General features: G+C 51.9%; 1 protein-coding gene across 11 annotated transcripts in view, besides 5 other annotated features; it reads left to right on the top strand.

The window, feature by feature from the left end:
• ZNF423 (zinc finger protein 423) overlaps nt 1-23856 on the top strand; it is a 371756-nt gene that overhangs the window by 44571 nt on the left and 303329 nt on the right. Inside the window, exons 2-4 of one of the 11 annotated variants that reach the window (XM_006721171.5) lie at nt 8940-9125; nt 9336-9403; nt 10033-10220. The exons of 5 other annotated variants lie outside the window; for them this stretch is intronic. In XM_006721171.5, coding sequence (XP_006721234.1) covers nt 10160-10220 — 61 coding nt within the window. In that variant the 5' untranslated portion in view covers nt 8940-9125; nt 9336-9403; nt 10033-10159. Of the gene's footprint in view, nt 1-7949; nt 9404-9770; nt 10221-23856 lie in introns of those variants that run through there. 5 more of the 11 variants (XM_047433808.1, XM_047433806.1, XM_047433803.1 and 2 more) reach the window with 5 other exon arrangements.
• Nucleotides 3304-4249: an enhancer, noted in NCBI's record as "H3K27ac-H3K4me1 hESC enhancer chr16:49844371-49845316 (GRCh37/hg19 assembly coordinates)". NCBI's record gives its function as "activates a minimal SCP1, AML or CMV promoter by ChIP-STARR-seq in naive H9 embryonic stem cells {active_cell/tissue: H9 hESC(naive)}" and the evidence as "EXISTENCE:reporter gene assay evidence [ECO:0000049][PMID:30033119]".
• Nucleotides 4250-5194: an enhancer, noted in NCBI's record as "H3K27ac-H3K4me1 hESC enhancer chr16:49843426-49844370 (GRCh37/hg19 assembly coordinates)". NCBI's record gives its function as "activates a minimal SCP1, AML or CMV promoter by ChIP-STARR-seq in primed H9 embryonic stem cells {active_cell/tissue: H9 hESC(primed)}" and the evidence as "EXISTENCE:reporter gene assay evidence [ECO:0000049][PMID:30033119]".
• Nucleotides 5195-6140: an enhancer, noted in NCBI's record as "H3K27ac-H3K4me1 hESC enhancer chr16:49842480-49843425 (GRCh37/hg19 assembly coordinates)". NCBI's record gives its function as "activates a minimal SCP1, AML or CMV promoter by ChIP-STARR-seq in primed H9 embryonic stem cells {active_cell/tissue: H9 hESC(primed)}" and the evidence as "EXISTENCE:reporter gene assay evidence [ECO:0000049][PMID:30033119]".
• Nucleotides 13599-13648: an enhancer, noted in NCBI's record as "active region_10807". NCBI's record gives its function as "activates an Ori minimal core promoter by ATAC-STARR-seq in GM12878 lymphoblastoid cells {active_cell/tissue: GM12878}" and the evidence as "EXISTENCE:reporter gene assay evidence [ECO:0000049][PMID:35858748]".
• Nucleotides 13792-14292: an enhancer, noted in NCBI's record as "H3K27ac hESC enhancer chr16:49834328-49834828 (GRCh37/hg19 assembly coordinates)". NCBI's record gives its function as "activates a minimal SCP1, AML or CMV promoter by ChIP-STARR-seq in primed H9 embryonic stem cells {active_cell/tissue: H9 hESC(primed)}" and the evidence as "EXISTENCE:reporter gene assay evidence [ECO:0000049][PMID:30033119]".

The following is a 23856-nucleotide window of genomic DNA, read 5'->3' as shown; positions in this document are numbered from 1 at the left end:
AATTTTTTTTTTTTTTACAATAGTGGCTTGCAAAACTTTTCTGGAACAAATCTTATAGCAAGCCAATTGATTAGGTTGTTCAGGAGGACCTTGGAGGATTGGAGTAATTTTGTACTTCTCAGGAACAAGCGTGTTTCCTGTCTGAGCCTCAGTTGCCCACCTGAGAAAGCACAGCCCATGCCTGTCCTGCTTGCCCTCCGATCCTGTCCCATTGTTGGAAAAGGCAGGTGCAGTTTATCCTGGCACAGCCCACCCCTGTCCCGCTTGCCCTCCGATCCTGTCCCATTGTTGGAAAGGGCAGGTGCAGTCTATCCTGGCACAGCCCACCCCTGTCCTGCTTGCCCTCCGATCCTGCCCCATTGTTGGAAAGGGTAGGTGCAGTCTATCCTGGGCACAGGACATGTCGGGGATGTCATCCCCCCACCCCCCAGAGCCCACGGGAAGGCAGATGAATCATGTCCATTTTACAGGTGATGCCTGAAAAGGTTCAGTATTACAGGCCCCGTCTGGAGTCCCACTGCTGCTGAGGGCTGGGCTTGTGGCCTTGACCCAGGGCCTTCTGTCTCCGAAGCCCCGGCTCCTCAGGGCCTGGCTCTTGGACCCTGGCAGCCCACAGCCTTCGACCTCACGCCTTCCCTGGAACTGTCACTTCCTGCGTCCTCTGGGCTTTCCAGGAGTAAAAAGTGGGAGTTCGGCAAATCCTGCTAACGTCCTTGAGGAAGGAGCTGCTTGTTTTCTTTTTCCAGCTTCTTCTGCAGGAGCCCACCTGGGGCCTCCCGGTTCTCCAAGGCATTTATAGGAGTTGGGGGGCGGATGTGGACCCCTGGCCCCTGTCCAAAGAGCTTTTGGCCTTTCCTGGGTGGCTTCTGAGTCAGCTGCAATGGCAGGACCATCTCCATGGTCTCAGCTGCTGTCTCGGCCACTGTGCTGGTTTCCTGTCCAGCAGGGTTCAGTGGTGCAGGTGACAGAAGCCAACTCTGGACAACTTAAGCCAAAAGAGACTTTAACAGGAGGCCAAGGGGGAGCCAACAGTGTGAATGCACAGAGAGATGGAGGCCTTGGGGCAGCTCTGGAGATGCGGGAGCGAGAGGGAATGGATGTTCTCTTCCGGGAACTGCCATGGGGCGGGAGTTTGTCACCTCCCGTGTCTCCTGCGTGGCTCTGCTTGAGGATCAATCCCTGGGCAGATCAAGCATGAGCCTGGGCCATGGCCCAGGGGAGGGCAGGGCATTTTGACTGGTGGCACATTGAGGTTAGGGTTAGGGGCGGTTCCTCAGGGCACGATTGGGGTGCTGCTGTTATCCGAGGCTGGGGCAGTGGATACCTGGAGGATGAACATGTCTGCTTGGCTGTCACTGCTCTCCTGGTGGCCTGTCCTGCCACCTCAGAAGGCTCTGGCTGCCTGGAGTCGGGGCACAGGGTGGGCTGGGGGTGAAGTGCGCCGTTGCCTGTTAGGCCAGCTCTGGGCTGTGGGGTTGGAGTCACCAAGGTAGACCTGTAGGGCACCAGGGTGGGTGGGGATTTGGGGGAAGTCCAGTCTAATGTCATTCATACGCACAGGGAAATGGGAGTTGAGAGAGAGCAGCAAGAACTTCCCCAAAGCCCCACCGCCTAGTAGGGCTACAACTAGGGGAGTGGACCAAGGTGGGAAGGCAAAAATGCAGCACCCCAAGGCAAGTGTGGGTGCCCCTGGTGGTGTGGCAGGGGGTTTAAGTAGAACACACACACACTTTTAAACACACGAATTGCTAATGAATGCACAAGGAGCAAAATTAGAAACTCCCCCAGCCACCCACTGTCCTCCCTGGAGGCCACTGCTGGTCCTAGTTTCTTGTGTCTGGTTCCAGGGCAATTTACGTGTGTTCAGACACATGAAAATTCGTGTATTTATCTCCCCTCCCCAACACAAATGGAAGTACACCATACAGCCCCTCACCCTTTCTCACTTTCCAGACTGTGAGAAATGATTCCAAATCAGCTACTTCAGTACTGCTTCAGGACTTTATTTATTCATTTATTTAGGTTTTCTGAGATGGGATCTCACGCTGTTGCCCAGGCTGGAGTGCAGTGGCACAATCACAGCTCACTACAACCTAGAACTCACAGGCTCAGGAGATCCTCCCACCTTAGCCTCCTGAGTAGCGCATGCCACCACACCTGGCTAATTTTTGTATTTTTTGTAGAGATGTGCTCATCATGTTGCCTGGGCTGGTCTTGAACTCCTGGGCCTCCAAAGATCCACCCACTTTGGCCTCCTAGAGTGCTGGGATTACAGGCGTGAGCCACCATGCCCAGCCCCCTTATCCCAGCCTTTATCAGTAGCGTTGACTATGCCCTCTCTCCCCTCTCATAGCCAGCCAGGCAGCAGGTGCCTGTAGCTTCTAGAAAACAACCAGGTAGATGGGGAATGTGGATGTGGGAGAGCCAGGACCCTCTAGCCCAGTGGCTTGGTGTGGGATTTTAAATTGCATAGGTCTGGATTTGAATCCCAGCTCTGCCACTTGCTGGCTGTGTGACCGTGAGCAAGTGTCTTAACCTCTCTGAGTATAGGTTTTCTTGCCTGTGCAATGAGGATGGTTGAGGACTCCCTGCAGGATCCCTAGGAAGGTGACACAAGTGCTCTGTGTGTGGAGCACCCCGCCTAGTCACCGGTGCTCAGCGGAGTTTTGATTGTGGTGGCACCAGAGGTCTGCTCCCTGTCACAGGCCTAGGGGCAGGAGGAAGGGGAGAGGAGAGCGGGACAGAGCCTGCTTCTCTGCCCCTGTGGCATCCATCCCAGATGAGCAAATGGCTCTCAGCAGGGCATGGGGAACGGAATCTCTTTCTGGCTGGCGGTGGCTGGCCAGCCTCAGGGCAGCTGCCCTGTTCCCAGATCTGGGGTTCCAGGCTGGGTGGCTGAGGCGGGCGGTCAGGCGGGGCCTGGGCAGCTGACAGGGCCTCTGGGGGCGGGGGTGGGGGTAGGAGGCCAGCTGTAGTCCTGGAGCAGCAGAGAGCCAACTCAGACTTTAACCCATTCCAGTCCTGCGGGGATGGCTGCTCTTCTGGGCCCGGAAATGGCTCCCTTTTCTTTCAGTAGCCTCGTTTGCCCTGTGAGCTCCTTGTCTGACCAGGGGGTCGGCAGCCTGCAGTGCAAGGACTGTATTTGGACTGCTAGAAGTTTGGTCAGCCTGTCTTAAAATTGGAATGGTTCCTATAAATATTCAGATCTCTGGCCTCCCTGGAGAAACCAGAAAATGGGACCCTGCTAAGCACACTCTGGGTGGCAGCGTGGGCTGGGTTGGGGGTAGAGTGGTGCCATTGTCTCCTCCACCCCCAGTGTTTATTTCTGGTACCTACCTATTTCCCCTGCGATCATTTGAGATCCCATCAAGGCCAACTCTAACTCCTCTCCTAGCTGAGCCTTGACTTTCTTGGGGGTCTCTCTACCGCTGCTTGGTCCCCTCCCATGCCGGGAGCCTCACTACCCCCAAGCAGACCTCCCCTCATTGCCTCTGCTGATAGCGTCCCATCTGTTTCTTCTTGAAATCGTCCCATCTGTTTCTTCTTGAAATCTTTCTGTAGTGCCTTCCACTGGTTGGTCCCGGTTTGACCCCTTGAGGCCACACAGCCAGCGCAGTCTGTCTTCTCTGTGACAGCCCTTCAGATGCCTGAAGACAGCTCTGAGGGCCCCCTGAGCCTGCCCCTCTGGGCTGAACAGCATCAGTTCCTTCACTTCCCCTCCCAAGATGTGGTTTCAAGACCCCCCATTACCCTGATGCCCCTCCTTAGCCACATCCTCGTGGGCCCGTGAACTTCTTGTGGCCGGACTCTCAGCGCTGCCCTGCACACCCCGAGGGCCTCAAGACCACTCAGACATGCCCCAGGTCCCATTTGTGTTGAAGGAGAGAAAGTGTAAATGCACAGAAAGTGTCCGGTAGGGCCGACTGCCCTCAAATACCCATGGCATTTCCGAGAGGGGCATTATAGGTGGTTTTATTTTTCCCTGAGTACTCACCTGTATTTATTTATTTTTCCTATAATCTGGAAGATTAAAAAAGTAACAAAGCAAAGGGCTTGCGATGAATTCATTTTAATCAACTCATGGCAGTTGTCTGTGGAGACGAGGCCCTGAGCTGGGAGTGAGGGGCAAGGAGGAGGAACAGGGTGGGGCTGTCCCTCAGGGAGCTCACAGCATAGGGGACCCTGATGCGCCCAGGGGTCTCAGCTGAGTCGGGCCCTCAGAGAGGATTATGGGGACCAGAGAAGGAGGCGTCTGTTTATCCAGGGATCTGGGAAGGCCTCTTGGATAGCAGAGGTCTGGTGGGGGCCTCCAACATGGCAGGGGTGTTTTGGGTAATGAGAGCAGCAGTGGCAGAGGTCCTGAGACAGGAAGGTGGTTGCCTGGAAGGGAGCAGGTGGGTGCATGGCTTGGAGCATCAGGAGGTAAGAAGGGTGTGTGGCAGGGCTGGGGGCAAGGGGCTGGCAGAGGCCCCTCTCTGGCTGTCCTCTTTGGGGTGAGGAGTCTGTGAGTCTGGGAACGTGTTCTTTCTTCTAGATTATCTCCAGGTGCCAGGACTCCCCCAGCCTCCCCGACCCCAGACCACCCTGGACCTCTGGGGCCTCTCCCTGTGTTTGTCTTCCCAAGGGTGGACCAAGCCTTCAGTGTGCATATCCCCAGGCCAAAGAGTGGGGAAGGGGTGCTGTCAGCAGGAAATGGGGCCTGGGCAGACCTTTGACACATGGTTGCCCCTGTCCTCGAGGGAAGGAGCTGGGGGTGGGAGGAAAAAATGGGTGGGCGCAGGCTGGGGGCCTGGGTCCTGACAGCTGGGCGAGCTCTCACTCTCATGCGGTTCATAAGGCTTCCCCTGGTGTCCTGCTAAGAGCTCCCGGGTGGACCCTCCAGCCCCAGACCCCCTGGTGTCTTTGTTTCCAGTCTCAGGAGCAGGCTTCAGATGCCTCAGGGCTTGGTGGAGGCACTTTGGAGGCCATCAGAAGTGGGAGCAGGAATGCTTTTACCAGCTGTGCTAACCCACCCGGGGGTCCCCACCTCTCCCCTCTGGGAGCCAGCATGTGGTCTGCTATGGGAGGATGAGGCAGCCACATCTGTTCTCGCAGGTGCAGAGCGGAGCCTCTGGGACCTTTCTCTCGGATTCTCCTTTTCCCCAAAGTCCCCCTCTCGCCTTCTTGGGGGTTCCAGGACCAGCAGGACCTGGGTGTGAGTTCCACTACACACAGGCTGCACTGGCTTGTGTGTAGTGGAACACAAGGCTTCTCTGAGACCTCTCTGCCTGGGTGGGGAGATTGAACCTGCTGCCGCCCGCTGGAGCATAGCAGTGTGGGTGACACACAGAGCATGGGACCACTGCAGCCTATGCCGCTTTGCACGAGGCAGCTTTTCCAAGGGCCCCCAGGGCCGGGCCGGCCCCTGCCAGCCGTGGACCAGATGTGCTTTTTCTGATGGTGTGGGAGAGCTTCTCTGTGTGGGTGTCCTCGCATTATGTGTGGGCCGCTATGTTTTGATCGAAGGGAGCCAAACTGATTTTCCTGGCCCATCTCTCCGCCATTCGAAGCAGAAAGTTAAATAAACACAACCAAGTATTATCGCAGGACACGCGGAAAATGAACTTGGTCCCTACGGGTGGCCACATCTGGCAAGTGTGGGGCCGTGCAGGGCTATGGGATGAGACAGATGTGGTTGGGGCAGGAAGGGCTCAGTGTGCCCCCTGCTCGGGGACGTGCCTCCTGCCAGGGGCTCTGGCCCTCAGTGGTATCCTTTCCCATTGCTGAACCTTTCTGAGGCCGTGTCTTCTGGCTTGGCTTCCCCTGAGCCTTGCCGCAGCCTGGTGGGTCTCTCTGGCCCTGTCTGGTGTGCGTAGGGAATGCACAGCTGGAGTCCCTGGGCCATGGGGGCAGGTGGTCAGGTGCACTTGGGAAATAGTCACACTTGTCGTGATTTCCACCCCTCTCCACCCCTCTGCTAACGGCCCTGGGGGGTGGATGAGCCACAGGTTTTGGGAGTACTTCACTGCTTGCCAGAGTGTGTAGCCAGCATGTCCCCCGCCCCTCCCACTGTCCTCTGCCCAGCACTGCCCTTGGCATGCAACACTCAGCCCTTGCTGAACTCCAGTGGGCTGAGTGGGTTCCCGGAGATCCATTTAGGACAACTGACATGCACCTCTTTATCAGAGGTGCCCAGCACTTCTCATGCCCACTGTCCCCAAAATGGGACATTGCACCGGAGGCTTGTGGGATTCAGGTGGCTGATAGGTGAATGGTTCTCTTTTCTTCATACTTATATATATTTATTCCTTCATCTGTTAGGAACATGTTACTTCTTATGTTTATTTTATTGTCTATTAGAAAAATTGGGCCTGGCATAATGGCTCACATCTGTAATCCCAGTGCTTCCAGGGGCCAAGGCAGGAGAATTGCTTGAGGCCAGGAGTTCAAGACCAGCCTAGACAACATGGTAAAACCCTGTCTCTACAAAAAATTAAAAAATTAGGTAGGTGTGGTAGTGCACATCTGTAGTCCCAGCTACTCAGGAGGCTATGGTGGGAGGATGGTTTGAGCCCAGGAGCTCGAAGCTGCACTTAGCTATGATGCAGCCACTGCACTCCAGCCTTGGTGACAGAGCAAGATTTTGTCCCTATAAAAGAAAAAAAAAAAGAAAGAAAAATTGTTACTAGCACACCAAATGTGTGATTTCTTGAGTAACGCTGCTTAGGGAGAAGCTAGAAAAAAAGGAATGTAAGAAAAAGCAGGGAGTTGATGGGAAGAAAAGCATCCCGTGACTCTGAGTGCCAGAGGTGTGTCCTCCTGGCAGGAGTTGTCTGGGGAGGTCCCTGCCAGCCCCGGGGCAGGGACAGTGGAGAGGCTGAGTTGCTGCTCTGGAGCCTGTGCCCAGGCAGACCCTGTCACGGCCCCTGGGATGGTTGGCATGCTTAGTGAAGGTTTTGGGGTTGTCTTGGGATGGCAGGCAGGTTTGGATTAGGGAGGGCCTGCCTTGGTGGGACCAGCTGCCAGGTGGAGCTGCCTGGGGTCCCCCAAAGGCCTTTTCCACATGCAAGCTCCCCACGGTGGGTGGGCAATGGGGCCAAGTCGGGAGCACATCTGTGCCAGTGAAATGTCCCCCTCCCAAATCAGACATTAAAAATACAAACTCCTTAAGCCGTGAAGTATTGTGCTTGCCCCTACCCCGGGGTGTCTTTGTGGAATGAAAAAGTGTTTGGAACCAGACATTACAGTTCGTTTCTGTGGAAGGTTTGGGCTTTTATTTTGTATTTTTTGTTTTTTTTTTGAGACGGAATATTGCTCTGTCGCCTAGGCTGGAGTGCAGTGGGCTATCTCCACTCACTGCAAGCTCTGCCTCCCGGGTTCACGCCATTCTCCTGCCTCAGCCTCCCGAGTAGCTAGGACTACAGGTGCCCGCCACCACGCCCGGCTAATTTTTTGTATTTTTAGTAGAGATGGGGTTTCACCGCATTAGCCAGGATGGTCTCGATCTCCTGACCTCATGATCCGCCTGCCTCAGCCTCCCAAAGTGCTGGAATTACAGGCGTGAGCCACCGCCCCCGGCCTGGCTTGGGCTTTTAATATGAAAGAGAAGGAAGATAATGTGTGTGGAGTTAGTACTGCTGTAGTGTATGTTTAACATTGCTAAAATGGTACATTTTATGCTGTGCACTTTTTTTTTTTTTTTGGAGTCAGAGTCTTGCTCTGTCCTCCAGGCTGGAGTGCAATGGCACGATCTCGGCTCGCTGCAACCTCTACCTCCCGGGTTCAAGCGATTCTCCTGCCTCAGCCTCCCCAGTAGCTGGGATTACAGACGTGCGCTACCATACCCAGCTGATTTTTGTATTTTTAGTAGAGACGGGGTTTCACCATGTTGTCCAGGCTGGTCTTGAACTCCTGACCTTGTGATCTGCCTGCCTTGGCCTCCCAAAGTGCTGGGATTACAGGCGTGAGTCACAGCGCCTGGCCTGCTGTGCATTTTTTTTTTTTAACCACAAAAAAAGTATGAGGAAGAAGAGCAATGTGTAAAAAGAGAGATGGATGGGTGATCTGTGTGTTCAGAACCAGATGGAAGCACACACACACACGTCATACATACACAAATCAGTTTTCAATGACAGACTCAGTTTCCTCTGCTCGTGTTTAAAATAAACCACATGTATAACCAGGAACTGACATTTATTTACAGTATGTTAGCACAGAGGACAAGCTGTTAAGGGGTTGTAAAAAAACATTAGTTTCTACTTTATAGTGCTTTTTCTTCAAATGAAAGTGGAAAGAAGGAAAGAGAGTGGGGTGCCGATCTTACCTGCTTCTTCCTTTCCACCCGAAACAGCAAACAGACCTGGGCAGATGTGGGTCCTCTGTACCATACCCTGAGTGAGGGGCTGGGCCCCAGGCTGATGTGCCCACTGTCAGGTTCCTGAAGTACAGGCTGCCACTTTCATCTGGCGGTTGTGTGGGCTGTTGTGTGGCCCCTCCCTGGGGGGCTGGGGTGCCCCCCGCTCCACCACCTTCCATCAGCATTTCCCAGCTGGTGGGCGAGAGCCCAGTGTTGCCCCCGAAACAGGATGCAGGAGCCAGACCCCATTGTAAATCCACGTTTATATGCTGCACGTTTCTGGTTAACGAGACCATGCAGAGATGACTGTATGAAATGAAATACATGTATGAACGAGGAGATTAACCTCAGGGAGAGATGGGATTAAACGAGAGGGCAGCCCGGGAGGCCGGGGGCCCTCCCTGTTAAGGTCCAGGCAGGCGGTTCCCCAGAAAGGGAATTTTCCGCACACATTGCAACCCTGGATGGACTGGCTGGGGGCACAGAAGCAATCATCCTATTTCGTGTTGCTCGTTGGACGCCAGGCACTAAGCTGAGATCTTTACCTGTGTTATTTCACTTTGTCTTTAAAATAAATGGAATTTTTTAAATCCCCATTTTATAGATGTGGAAATAAAGACTCGAAGAGTCCATTACCCAAGGTTACACAGCAAGCAACAGGTGGAGTTTATGATCAACGTGGGCTGGCACACCCAATACTGACCTCTGCAGACTGGTCACTGGAGGGTTCAGAAAAAAGGAGTCATTTCAACCCTTACCTGCCTGGCGAGCTTTGCCTTATTTTGAGAAGGTACAGGCAATCTGGGAAGTTTGGCCAGTTAATTACTGTTTGTTTTGAAGGGGCCGAGAGAGGCAGGATGGCCTGGTGAACTTCAGAGCCATGTAGACCCAGCTTCAAATCTGGGCTCCATCTCCCTCTGCTTCCATAATTTGGTCCACTTAAAAAAATTAGTTTAGCCCCTGGTTTTTCCACCTGTAAGATGAGTACCTGCTTTTGTAGGGCCATTGGGAGTATCAGCATGAACGTGGTAACGTGTGAAGAGGTGGCTCAGTGTGTTCTCACTACAGGTATGTGATGGTTGTCTCTAGTGTCTCTGATGTGCACAGTCTGCTGCCAAGTGAACTGGAAGGTGGGAGAAAGAGGAGATGGAGAGACTTTCCCTAAAGGGGCTGAGAGTATGGTTGTGGGCAACATATAATGCTGTGGGATCTTGGGAGGCTGAGGCAGGTGGATCACCTGAGGTCAGGAGTTCGAGACCAGTTCTGGCCAGCATAGTGAAACCCCATCTCTACTAAATATACAAAAATTAGCTGGGTGCGGTGGTGGGCACCTGTAATCCCAGCTACTTGGGAGGCTGAGGCAGGAGAATTGCTTGAACCCAGGAGGTGGAGGTTGCAATGAGTCGAGACCAGGCCACTGCACTCCAGCCTGGGGGACAGAGTAAGTAAGACTCTGTCTCAAAAAAAAAAAAAAAAAAAAAAGCTGTGGGATCAGGGTTTCCATTTGCCAGGCACTGGGTATTGGGTCCTGAACCATGCACTTTATACACACCATCTTGTTTGATCTTCAGAGCTACCTTGCAGGGTTGGTGTGCACAGGGTTGGTGTGTTACCTGATTTGCCCAAGTCACACAGCAAAATATGGTGGATTGGGATTTGATCCTAAGGCATCTTGCTTCAATTACACCCTGCTGCAGGTGAGAACTAACTTCAGTCCATGGCTGGAGAAGACTTCTTGGAGGAGGTGACCTTGAGCTCTGGTCAGTGTTTCTGACCAGGAGAGGAGGTGGCCTTGTAGCCTGTGGTCAGGCTGACTCTGGGGACATGGATGAGAAGCTGGAAGCCCTGGGCCTGTTCCCAGGTCTCCTCATAAGCCGGATCCCAGGTGATGCTAGACTGGGTGGGGCGAGGCTACCTAGATTTCCTCTAGTATTGATTTCTTTGCTTAGTTAAATTCAATTTGATTAGATTTTTTTCTGAACTTTACTTTTGAGCAGGAAAACTTGCTTACATTAAAAAAGAGACCCATGGACTTTTAAGATTTTGTCCACAATTATCATTCTTCCTGAAAATGGGATTTGCATATTAGTGTAAAAAAATCAGAATTTTAACTCTGATTGAAGTAGAAACTCATCTGAAGGCGGGGCGCAGTGCCTCAGGCCTGTAATCCCAGCACTTTGGGAGGCCGAGATGGGCAGATCACCTGAGGTCAGGAGTTCAAGACCAGCCTAGCCAACATGGTGAAACCCCATCTCTACTAAAAATACAAAATTAGCTGGGCGTAGTGGCGGGCATCTGTAATCTCAGTTACTGGGGAGGCTGAGGCAGGAGAATCACTTGAATCCGGGAGGTGGAGGATGCAGTGAGTCGAGATCTCACCACTGCACTCCAGCCTGGGTGACAGAGGGAGACTCTGTCAAAAAAAAAAAAAAAAAAAAAAGAAACTCATCCTAGCCCTGGGCCGGTTCCCCACCCCTGAGTCTGCTCTGGGGCTATGGCTATGGAGACAGAGACCCCACCTTGAGCTCTGCCTTTCCCCTTCCCTAGCTCCCTGCCCCTCCCTTGTGTCTGCACTCCAGGTCCTCTACTTGGTTTTGTCTTGTTCTGAGTTTGGGATGCATTTAGCAACCTCCAGCATACCGTAGTTTGTTCATTCATTCACTCACTCAGCTCCTGTGTGCCAGCCCTTGAAGGGGCACAGTGATGGGTAACACTTGTCACTGTGGATTCACCATCTAGTGGTTGAAGGTCAAAACCCAGCTTCCTTTTCTCATCTCTCTCATGCTACCTAGCGCAGACTTCTAGGTAGTCTAGAGGTGCTCAGTGCTTGTTAAAGGAGGAAATAGCCAAATGCCTCCTGGTAGTGTATCCCAAAAGCCTAAAAATGGGTACACTCTTTGTCCTAGCAATCAAGCTTCTGACCTAAGGAATATTATCGAACAGGCTTGTGACCATACATGTGTTGCAGCGTGGATTCTCTTACAGGAGGAGACAGCTGGAAATAGCCTGGCTATCCAGCAACAGGATATTGGTTATTTGGAGCCTCCTGTGATGGGACTCAGGCCATCATTGATAATAGTGTTGGTCTCCGTTTATTTTTATTTTTTATTTTTTTGAGACAAGGTCTGGCTGTGTCACTCAGGCTAGAGTGCAGTGGTGCCATCATAACTCACTGCAGCCTTGACTTCCTGGGCTCAAGTGATCCTCCTGCCTCAGCCTCCTGAGTAGCTGCGACTACACATGCATGCCACCATGCCCAGCTAATTTTTTTTTTATTTTTCTGTAGAGACGGAATCTCGATATGTTGCCTAGGCTGGTCTCGAACTCCTGGCCTCAAGTGATCCTCCCACCTTGGCCTCCCAAAACCCTGGAATTGCAAGTGTGAGCCATCGGGCTGGTCCTTGGTCTCTGTTTTTGATGTGAAAGGATGTTCACTGGGTACTGCTGAGTTAGAAAAGCGGAATACAGAGCACTACCTGTTTTTAATGTTGTAACAATGTATTTACATACTGGAAAGTTGTGCTTTTACTTTCTTCATTTTAACTCACATGTATTCCCTAGTTTTCTACGTTGTACATGGATTACTTATGTCAGAAACTTTTACAGAAAGAAAGAGACGTTTGTTCTAGGAAACAATAAGCAAAGGGCCACTTGGAGTGAATTCTGTGTTTCTGACATATTTGGAACATAGGGGCAAAGCCTAGGCAGGGCAGGTGGGGTGGGTGGGAGAGCTGGGGTCTCTGCAGCGTCCTAGGCTGCCAAAGCCCCTTCTCTCCTTCCTCCTCCTCCTGTGACACTGTGCCTTTGTCCCATGGTGCGCTGATCGTGCACATTTATTCTGCTCAGCAGTGTCCTGTTTGGTAGCTTGATGTTGGCTGCAGTGGGGGCATTTACACTGCAGAAAGTGGCAAACCCTACAAACCAGAGCCTCTTGTTCTCCTGGATAGCCCCCTGTTAGACATTGACCAGCACACCATTGTCTCTCATGGTTTCACCCCAAGGACCTTGAGTGCTTAGGGAGACCCAAGAGATGAACTCTCCTCTTCTTAGGGTCTCCTGGGGCTGGCACAGGGAGGGACCTAAGGATCTTAAGGATCATGGGAGCGGGGCAGAGTGAGAGAGAGTGAGAGTCCAGTCCTATGTTGACTGATCCTACTCAATCTGGAACCAGACCTGCTGCCTGTTGGAGGCCGAAGTAAAATCAAGGGGTTAAGAATTCTACTCCCAGCTGGGCATGGTGGCTCACTCCTGTAATCCCAGCACTTTGGGAGGCTGAGGCGGGAGGATTGCTTGAGGCCAGGAGTTCAAGACCAGCCTGGCCACACAGTGAGACGCATCTGAAAAAAATTAAAAATTAACTGACTGGGTATAATGGCATGTTCCTCTAGTCTCAGCTACTTGGGGGGCTGAAGTGGGAGGATCACTTGAGCCCAGGAGTTTGAGGCTGCAGTGAGCTCTGATCACACCACCGCACTCCAGCCTGGGTAACAGAACAAGGCTGTATCTCTAAAAAAATAAAAATCCAGTCCTGGCTATACCCCATCCTAGCTCCATGACTTTTGACAAATTGCTTAACCTTAGTTTTCTCATCTGTAAAATGGGGTTAATAAATGTACTTACTCATAGGTTCTCAAACTTAAGCACGCATCAAAGTCATTTGTTGGTTTTGCAAAAACACAGATTCCTGAGTCCCACCCTCAGATATTCTGATTTTGTAGGTCTGGGATGGGGTCTGGGATTCTGCATTTCCAACAAGCTCCTAGGTAATGCTGCTATTGCTGGTCTGGAAACTATATTCTGAGAATTACTTTGTGCAACCGAAGTGCACATCACAGTGTGTGGCACAGGTGAGGGCTCAGTTGCACTTCACTGCTTATTCAGAGGTGGGCAGCATTGTCCAGGAGTATTCCAGGGCCTGAAAGCTAGAATGCCGGGTTCTGAGTCTGCTTTTGCCGCCTCGTCTGGGCCCCCAGGTGAGCTATTTCTCTTATTTGGGACTCTATTCTTCCTTCTTTGAAATGGGTCAGTAAAGCCCTGACTTTCAGGCAGGAGCTGAGGAAACATCTGTAAAAGCCTCCAGTGCCAGACAGTTCTGGTGCAGGGTGGTGGGGAAGGACGTGAGGGACCTGGGCCAGGCTGGCGTCTGTCTCCTCACCCACGTGGGACCAGCACAGAGAGGCAGGCTGTGGCAGGGCACGCTCTCCTCAGTCCCCCGGGGCTGCCAACGTACCCAGGCTTGGCTCCTCTTCTGACAGAGCTGCGAGGGACTGTTTTAGAAGAAGAAAAAAGACATTGTTTTAATTCACGTGGGTTCCTGCCTTTGCGATGTTGTCTTCAGTTCTTCTCAGTTCCTGATTCTGGCTTTCCACTAACATTGCCACATCAGGTGGCTTTGTGATATTCAGTTTCCTTTTCTTTTCCTACCCCATGGCTGGGCTGGACCAGGACAGAACGAGGGGTGAATGGCTGGGTGTTCACGGCTCCCCTTTTTCCTTCCCTTCCCTGTTTTGCCTTTGAGCTGAAGCCATGCTTGGAAACATCTGCCCTGGCCTGGGATTCCGTGGCTGGCATCTGGACAAATGCTGTGGCTCCCTGGGGCTTTGTTTCCTCACCAGAAAAGTGAGGATTTTAAGGGCTCCCTCTGAGGGGGCCTGGGAGGATGGAAGGGGAGCCAGTATGTGGGATACCCGGCACTGTGCCAGATGCCACTTGGGCTCAGTGAAGGGTGGCCTTTCCTGCTCACATTGGGCACATCCTCAAGTGTGTGCGCAGGAGTGTGTGTGTGTGTGTGTGTGTGTCATGTCCAGGTGCTTGCAGGGAAGTTCTATGGACCAGAACAGAGAAACCCAAGATTTTAACCCTCGCTGTTGAGACTTTTGAAGCTGCATCTGTGCCAATTTAGAGAAAGAACCCCGATCAGTTGGCAATATCTATGGTGGGTGCAAGATAGAGGAGCTGGGGCAGGTGTTCCACATGTGTGCTGTCCTGGGTCTAGTGGAAAAACCCTTTTCCTAGTACTTAGAGAAAACTCCCAAGGAGGGAGGATCATGTGAGGCCAGGAGTTTGAGACCAGTCTGGGCAACATAGTGAGACCCCATCTCTACAGAAAAATATCTTTTTTTTTTTTTTTGAGACAGAGCCTCATTCTGTCACCCAGGTTGGAGTGCAGTGGCACAATCTCTGCTCACTGCAACCCCTGCCTCCCAGGGTCAAGTGCATCTCATATCTCAGCCTTTCAAGTAGCTGGGATTACAAGTGTGCATCCATATGCCCAGCTAATTTTTGCATTTTTTGTAGAGACAGGGTTTTGCCATGTTGGCCAGGCTGGTCTCGAACTCCTAGCCTCAAGTGATCTGCTTCCCAAAGTGCTGGGATTATAGGTGTGAGCTCCCACGCTTGGCCAGAAAAATATAACAATTAACCAGGAGTAATGGTGCGTGCTTGTGGTCCTAGCTACGCAGGAGGCTGAGGCAGGAGGATCCCTTGAGCCCAGGAGTTTGAGGCCGCAGTGAGCCAAGATGTTACCATTGCACTCCAGCCTGAATGACACAGTGAGAACCTGTCTTAAAAAATAAAATAAACCAAAACAAAACAAAGAAAACTTCAAGTGTTTCACACTCATTGTCCTATTTTACACATCATCATCATCATCATGTTTTTATTAGGGAAAGATGGAGGAGAGGAGTCACCTTTCTGCAGAGTTGCCGAAGATATAGATTTTACTGGGGTTAGTGTCTGCTTCTTCTGCAGAGATCTCCTAGCCTTTCTCTTTTGGGGTGATCATGGGGAATAGGAGGGTGAGAGGGAGATGAGCTGGCACAGAAGCTGAGCCCCTTGGCTGTCACCTCCAAATAGTCCCACATTTAGGGACACCATCCCTGCACTGTAGTGGGAACAGGAAAGCAGTGATGCTGAGGCATCTGTGGCTCTAGCTGGGCATTCCTGTGGGTGGGGCGGGGTGGGCTAAATCGCAGTGGGAAATTTGATCTCACTGCTCAAAACTCAGCTCTCCTGTCTTTCCAGGGAGAGTGAAACCTCAGCAGCCAGCCAGGAACCTGGCGGGAGAAGGGGAGCTTGAATTATCCCAGTAACATGAGCTCACATTGATTGCATGTTTCCCTGGAGCTAAGTGCTTTGGGGTATCATCTCATTTGGTCCTCTCCAACCTCCTGCGAGGTTGGTATTCTGATTATCCCCATTTTACAGAGACAGAAGATCAGGGTGGATCGAGTCTCTGGCCTGAGATCTGATGGCCTGCAAGTGATCACTTGGGGGACAGCAGCCTATTCCAGAGCCCACTTCCCACACCCCTACATTTTATAGTGTCTCTCCAGGTTCCCTCCTCTACCTCACAGCCATAGCTAGATGAGCTCTGCTGCGTGACTTCTGCAAGGGTCACTTTTCCTGTAAGGACAGATGAATTTACTTTTTGGAATTCTTGGATTATTCCCTGGTGTCTTTCTGTTCTATTTTATATATAGCAAGGCAAGGAGAGGAAGGGGCACAGTGGCTAAGCAAGGTTTAGGCTTTTAGCCCCTCTGCCTACAATTCTCCAGGGCAACAGTTTATGAGGAGTCTGTAGTAGCGTGGCAGCTTCCAGAGGTGCTGGTTCTAAAGTCAGTTTAAGGAGAAAGTCAAGCATTGCCAAAATTGCCTGTTATACAAGCGCCGACGTGGAGACCCACTGACCATCTATCAGTAATTCTTAACAATGGTTTTTCTTCACACATTGGAATATTCTGCTTTAATTTTTTTAAAAAAAATTGTATGTATTTATTTTTAAAAAGTACTAGATTGGTTAGAAGATTTCTGGTTAGGAGTTGTGTTGTCTGAAAACAGGCTTCTTTTTTATTTTGTTTTGTTTCTGAGACAGAGTCTTGCTCTGTCACCCAGACTGGAGTGCAGTGGTGTGATCTTGGCTCACTGCAACCTCTGCCTCCTGGGTTCAGGCAATTCTTGTGCCTCAGCCTTCTGAGTAGCTGGGATTATAGGTGTGCATCATCACACCCAGCTAATTTTTGTATTTCTAGCAGAGATGGGGTTTCATTATGTTGGCCAGGTTGGTCTCAAACTCCTGAGCTCAAGCCATCTGCCCACCTCAGCCTCCATAAGTGTTGGGATTACAGGCATGAGCCTCTGCACCTGGCCTTCTTTCTTCTTTTAACAGATAGGGTCTTGCTGTATCACCCAGGCTGAAGTGCAGTGATGTGATCATAGCTCACTGCAGCCTCGAACTCCTGGGCTCAAGTGATCCTCCCATCTCAGCCTCCCGAGTTGCTGGGATGACAGGCACATACCACCATGTCTGGTTACTTTTTAAATTTTTTATGGAGATAGTATCTTGCTATGTTGCCCTGGCTGGCCTGGAACTCCTTGGCTCAAGCAATCGTCCTGCCTTGGCCTCCCAAAGTGCTGGTATCATAGGTGTGAGTGACTGTGCCTGGCCTAAAAAATCGGTTTCTTTAAATACTAGACCCAGCCTCCTTTTGGTGAGATGCCCATATATTGGGGGGCAGGGTGTGGACAGAGAGACCCATGAGACAGAGCCAGAGGGTCCTGTCCCTTTCACTCTCACTTCAGGGCATAATGGCAGGCGATCTTACCTGTGCTGTTGAAACAGCTTGTTCTCTTTTCAGCAAGTGGTCAGGGTGAATCACGGGAGTTAAACAAAGGTGATTGTGATGTGACTGTCATATTGTGGCTTTTCTGATGGTCTGAGCTTGGTGCCAAGGGGCCTGTCAGTGGAGGTGTTGGGTGGTTTTAGCTTTAGCTGCAGGGAGCCTTGGCTTTTGCATGCAATCACCCCCACCCCACCCACTGCCTGAACACATCGCCACCTGAAAGGAGCCTGGAGGATGTGGGCTTCCTCGTTGGGTTTGTCTGCACTTGACCCTGGTCATTTGACCTAGGAGCGTGATGCCAAAGATGATCTTGGGCTGTAGAAAAGTGATTGGCTATGCTTTTGTGCAAAGGAATGGGCACCCCTTTCTCTGGGCATTCACAGCCCTGCACCAGGACACAGTGCTGGGTAGACAGAGTGTGGGTCACATTTCAGCTCTTTCTCGCCACCTTTGCTTGGCCTTCTGTGCAGTGCTTGGCCTATACCGCTCTACCTGCTTGGCCTCCCTGCCTGGTCTATGCTTTTCCATTCCTGGAGGTTGCTCAGTAGTAAGTCAGAAGCAGTGATGCTCTGTTTCATGCTTGACAATGAGACTTGGGTCTCTCGCTGTCCCCTTTACCTGTTGTGGCCTTGGCCTGCAGTGTGTGAGAGGGTTTCCCTAAGGTTGAGCTAAGGAGGGGCAGTCACGTGCCCCTTGCCTGGCCACCACCTCTGCTGGGACAGGGATGTCTCTGGGGAGGCATGGGATGTTGTAAGGGTGGGACGGGCCAGCAAAGCATGGGGAGGTTTCCCAAGGCCTTGGGGAAAGTAGCTGAGAACACTTTGCAAATGAGAGCCATTGGTCTATGGGTGCTTAAAGTTATTTTGGGGGTGGAGGTGGTTCTAGATCTTCTGATGAAATCTATGGATCCTTTCCCCAGAACAGTGCCCTTTTGTGCCTGTGCACAGCAGCTCACACCCAGAGCCTTCTTCCAGCCTTCAAGCCAGGCTGAGCAAGTGGCCCCAGCATGGATTTTGGAGTTCAGAAAGGAGCATTCTGGGTTCTTCCCTGGCCCTACTAGAGGCCTCCTCTGACCCTTGGACCAGCACTAGCCTCTGTTTGTCTCTCATTCACCTCCTGCCACTGTCTGCCTCAGAATCTGTCCCCCGAGCTTTCCTGCCTTTGACCTGAACCTTCTCTGCCAAAACACATCTTGCCTGACTTTGACAAACTCCTGAGCAGGGCCCCAGCCCTGTCTGGGCCCCACTGCTGTGTTCTGGGCCCTTTTTCCAGACCCCATGCCCAGCTTTCACCTTCCCTTTCTGTTTCCCTCTCCAGCTCCATCTCTTCTGCCTCTGTGAGGTGTTGGGGAGCCCTCTGGGTGGAGGGCATTACTCTCCAGGCCAGGAGCAAGTGACCTGGAGGAGGTGGTGCATGCAGGTGTCTGCCTAGTGCCACTTGCTCTGTGCCACTGGATATCTGAAATCCAGAGGCCTGGCACACAAGGGATCTCGGTGGTGGCAAGGCCTGTGCTAGTGCACAGGGGACGAGCTGTGGCCAATCCCAGAGCAGGAGAGTTGTAGCTACTTATGCACCTGCTGTGGAGTTGGGGCGACAGCATTAGGGGGAGCTCTATACTCCCATTCGTCAATCAGCCTCCCACAACTTCTGACCCCAGAGCTGAGAGTCAACGTGGAGTCCTGATCTGCCTGAAGCCCTGGCAGAGCCCCAGAATCCTTCTTAATGCACCCCAGGAACCATGGTTAATAGTGAGAGCTGGTCTTAGACCTGCTGCCACCAAGCAGGCGCCCTCTAAGGGCCCTCTGGCCTCTTTGAGCCCCTTCTTGTCCATTGTTGAGGATCTTGACTCACACAGGGAACTGGAAGCCCCCCAGGACTTCAGAGATGGCCGCAAACACCCTTTCTCTTAACAGGATGTGTTCGGGTGCTCCTTTGAAGGGCTTTCTGCAGCAGCCCTTGTCCAGAGGCTGCTGGACGTTGCCCATCAGTCTCCACAGCTTGGGGGGATTATCCCAGGACAGCTGGGAGTCTTAAGATTGAGCCCGTTCCTACCTCCCTGTGTAGCCCCCTCCATCCCTGTGGGGGCGGGGCCTCCAAGGCCCTGTCCGGTGAAGTGTTTTAGCAGGAGCTCCTCGCAGGGCTACTGTGGTGCCCTTGGGCCCTTCCAGGGCCACCTGATTGTTGAGGTCACACTCAGCCCTGGGAAGGATCCCATCTCTGATGAGCGATGATGATTCCCATTGCATGGGCAGGAAGAACTCCCTGCTCCATCCACTCTGTAACTGGATTCTGTGGCCAGAGTTTTCTGTTCAGTGCCTGCCTGACCCCAGGCAGGAGTGGTTTGTGCTCAAGGCCGGGGCAAGTGTGAGCGCCATGAGGGAGCTGGATTGGCATGTGTGACCTTCTGCTCCCAGAGCTGGTGTGACTCTAGTGTGATGGGGTGGGGACAGTGGTGGCGTGGAGGGGACAGGTGTGTCTGTGGCTGCCTTGCCCACTGCCTGGTTCTGAACAAAGCCCATCCCTGCTGCAGGCCCTCTGGGATGTCACCACACATCCTGTGTGCTTATTGATTAAAAATTTGGGCCGGGTGCAGTGACTCATGCCTGTAATCCCAGCACTTTGGGAGGCTGAGGCAGGTGGATAACCTGAGGTCAGGAGTTCAAGACCAGCCTGGCTAACATGGTGAAGCCCCGTTTCTACTACAAATACAAAATTTAGCCGGGCATGGTGATAAGCGCCTGTAATCCCAGCTACTCGGGAGGCTGAGGCAGGAGAATTGCTTGGGAGGCAGAGGTTGCAGTGAGCTGAGATCACACTATTGTACCCCAGCCTGGGTGACAAGAGTGAGACTCTGTTTCCAAAAATAAAATTTTTGTTTTTTGTTGAGCACCTGCTACTATGTTTGCACTGAGCTAGGCACTGGGATACAACAATGAACAAGACAGGCATTGTCCATGCCCTAGTGAGGGAGGCAGATAAAAGCCTAGGAAACCAATAGGTGGAAGGAATAATGAGAGGTGTTCGGGTTAGCAGGGGCTAAGCCGGAAGCTGCCCTGCAAGGTCAGGTCTGGGAATCACGAGCAGGAGCTGGTAGACCATGGGGCAGGAGTGGGCAGCTGCAGCCTGGCCATGTGACCTGGGCCACTCCAGAGCCTTTCTGCATCTCACACATGAGCGTGTGCATGCCTGCACGTGTGCTTGAACAGAGGGTACTCGAAGTCCACTGCCTGGCCCCAGCACAGAGCTTGTGTGGGGGGCCGTATGGCTGAAACAACTGGGGGAGTCCTTTGAGACAAAGAGTGCAAAATGCCTGTGGCCATTCTCAAGGTGACCGACAGGAGAGGAAATGGGATGGAAGAGAGTTTGGAGTAGATAGAAAAAGTGGGCTAGGTGCAGTGGCTCACACCTGTAACCCCAGCACTTTAGGAGGCCAAGGTGGGAGGGTTGCTTGAGGTCAGGAGTTCAAGACCAGCCTGGGCAACATGGCAAAAACCTGTCTCCACAAAAAAAAAAAAACAAAAACAAAAACAAACAAAAAAAACTACAAAAATCCACCGGGCGTGGTGGCATGTGCCTGTGGCTCCAGCTGCTCGGGAGGCTGAGGCAGGAGAATCACCTTAGCCAGGAGGTTGTGCCTGCAGTGAGCTGTGATCACACCACTGCACTCCAGCCTAGACAACAGAGAAAGACCCCATCTCAGAGAGCGAGAGAGAGAGAGAGAGAGAGAGAGACAGAGACAGACAGAGACAGAGAGGTCTTAAGTAGGTAACAGATCTTTCCTTTGCAAAGGTTACAAAACATGTAGGGCTACAGAACCCCACTGCTGGGACCCCTCCCAGTGTGCAGAGGGGCTTGAGTTTGCAAAGGGCTCTGGAGCTGGGGCTTCATTAGCATCGTGGTGAATCGGGCTCTGCCATGTGCCCCCTCCCTGTGTATTCACATCCACCCTGCATGCCCTCCTTGTGTGCATACACCTGCCCTCATGCCTCCGCTCTGTGTCACACACTTGCCCCTATGCCTCTGCTCTGTGTCACACACTTGCCCCCATGCCTCCTCTCTGTGTGCACACACTTGCTTCACGTGCTGTCCCTATGCCGGTATACCCTGTGCACCCTCCAGTGTGGGCACACCCTGGCCACCCACCTACCTTACAAATGCCCATCATCCACAGGAGTACTGTGTTCCCCTTGAAGTGGGGTAGGGTGGGGTGTGTATCTCTTGGCTTCAGTGGGGCCAATTATTGTATACATTAAACAACTAGACATGGAGCTAGGGACGTCTGGAGGAGGCGCCGCGGGCCGGCCAAGTAGCCCCTTTGGTGTGTTGTCCCTATCGGCCCCTGTGCGGATTGGGGTTTCTCTGAGCTGCGAGTCTTCAGTGTGCAGTGGGGCTCGGCAGCAGAACTCCCTCTTAGGGATGTTGGGGGCTCGCTGCTTGGGCCCCCAGAGAGTGCCTGCTGCCAGTGTGGGTTGGGGCCACCTGTCCCCAGCTCCAGTTGCAGACGGGCCCTCCTTCCTCTGTGCCTGCTGCCCCTGCTTAGTGATGCCATTGCTGGAGATCCAGTCTGGACAGAAGAGTGCAGCTGTGGGGAGAAAAAAACCTCACACTCATTGCTGGGTAGCACAGGGCCTTATGGGGGTGGTGGGGGGTTGGGTGTTGACTCTTTCTCATCAAGAATGTATAAAAACCAGGCGTGGTGGCTCATGCCTGTAACCCCAGTGCTTTGGGAGGCTGAGGTGGAGATCACTTGAGCCCAGGAGTTTGAGACCAGCCTGAGCAACATAGCAAGACCTTGTCTCTATAAAAAGTATAAAAATAAAAAAATTAGCCAGATGAAGTGGCACACGCTTATAGTCTTAGCTATGCAGGAGGCTTCGGTGGGAGGATCACTTGAGCCCAGGAAGTCAAGACTGAGAAGTGAGCTATGATCGCACCACTGCACTCCAGCCTGTACAACAGAGCATGAGCCTGTCTCATAAAACAATCCTCTAGCCCATATTCTGTTTTTGTTTTTCTGTTTTTTGAATCCTCTAGCCCATATTCACCTTTGAAGGTGTGCTTCTACCTTCAAAAAACAGAATATGGGCTAGAGGAGGGCATGTGAGTGGGGTGGTGCCTGCAGTTGTAGGAAAACGCATTAACACCCAAGTCGTAAGTAAGGTGACCCACAGATCCCTCACCACACAGGGATGTGGTTCCAGGGACTGCATTGTGTCATGCGGCTGCTTGCAGTGAGGGACCAGGAAGCCTGTAGTGAGATCTGCCACTCTGGACCTCCCCAGCCAGTTAGCACTGGGCCACTTTCCTCCTCTTTCCACCCCTGCAGGCCTGTCTGGACTTCTGGGACCCAGCACAGAGCTTTGATTTCCCCCAGAGCTCCAAAATGTTGGGTGTTTCCCTGTTCTCTTTCCCATTATGGCCGAGGCCAGATCTTCCTAAGAGGATGACTTGACATCTTTGGGGCATCCTCAAGTTCAGTGACTTGGGTGGTCACACTTCTTAACTAAACCACCTTGAGTGGGTGTAAGTGTGCAGACTATTTGTCCTGATACCTGGGTGCACAGAGGTCAGAGGAGAACTGGGGTCATGTATTAATGCCCTGATACCTGCAGATGACTAAATCAATAAAAGAAAAAGAAAAAAAAATCAAAAAGAAACTCTGTATCCTTAGCTATCACCCCTACCTTCCTACCCCTCCCAGCCCCAGGCAACCACCGATCCACTTTCTTTCTTTTTTTTTTTTTTTTTTTGAGATGGAGTCTCGTTCTGTTGTGCCCAGGCTGAGAGCAGTGGTGCAGTATCAGCTCACTGCAGTCTCCAGCTCCCAGGTTCAGGCAATTCTCTTGCCTTAGCCTCCCGAGTAGCTGAGACTACAGGCATGCACCACCATGCCTGGCTAAGTTTTGTATTTTTAGTAGAGATGGGGTTTCACCATGTTGGCCAAGCTGGCCTCGAACTCCTGACCTCAAGTGATCTGCTTGCCTTGGCCTCCCAAAGTGCTGAGATTACAGGCATAAACCACTGTGTTCGGCCCTGGACATGTCTTTTTAATGCACTCAAAAGGGATTCTGCTGAACATATTTTTTGTGCTTTTTCTTTCAAATTTAACATATCTGACCTCTTTATCAGCTCATATACCTTTACGTCATTCTTAAGGTTTAGGGACCCATGGAGACCTTGTGGAAGGTGTCTAACAAAATGGCAGCATGGTAACCTTGCACACTGGCAGCAGTCTCTTAATAGAAGCACCATATATTTACATGTGTGCGTGTAAGTAAAAGATGAAATGTAAGGGAAACTGATTTTTTGGCATAGCATTGAATGCTGTTAACAACAGCTCCTTCCGTGCATGGCCCGCTTCTGATGGCTTTAGGCATTAGCCACCCATGTTTTGGAGGCTGTCTGGTTGGAATCATTTTAGTGAATAATATCAATTTTGTCTGACACGAGGTCTTGATTGCTATTTATAAAGCTGCACATTTGAAAACCCACCCCAGCTGTAACTAGCTAAGTAAAACAATAGCTTGGGTCCCAGCTCAAATTATCTGTGCATTTCATTGTCTTGATCCTGCCTGTCCACTCTCAGGATGCGGGCTTGGAAAAGAGAGCACACTTCATTAGCATTCCTTGGCTAGTTGCTCGTGGATGTTCCCTCTTGCATGTGCTGTTTCTCAGGGTTCAGAGAAACCCATTCTGTGAGGCTTTGGGGAGGAGGAAGACCATGGTTACATAGTCAAGGGGGTAGATTGCACCATGTAGAGCACCACGTAGAGCAGGACTGTTTGAGTTGTGGCATCGACCCCCACTCGGTTGGTTGGGCCACTGTTCTAGCAGATGACAGCCCTGACATTATTATGGGGGCAGTTACCCTGTGCCGGCACAGTGCCCAATGCTGCACAG

The sequence above is a fragment of the Homo sapiens genome, chromosome 16, assembly GCF_000001405.40.
Source record: "Homo sapiens chromosome 16, GRCh38.p14 Primary Assembly".
Taxonomy (NCBI): domain Eukaryota; kingdom Metazoa; phylum Chordata; class Mammalia; order Primates; family Hominidae; genus Homo; species Homo sapiens.
The sequence above is the reverse complement of the archived record's forward strand: the minus strand, read 5'-3'. Positions and strand labels throughout refer to the sequence as shown.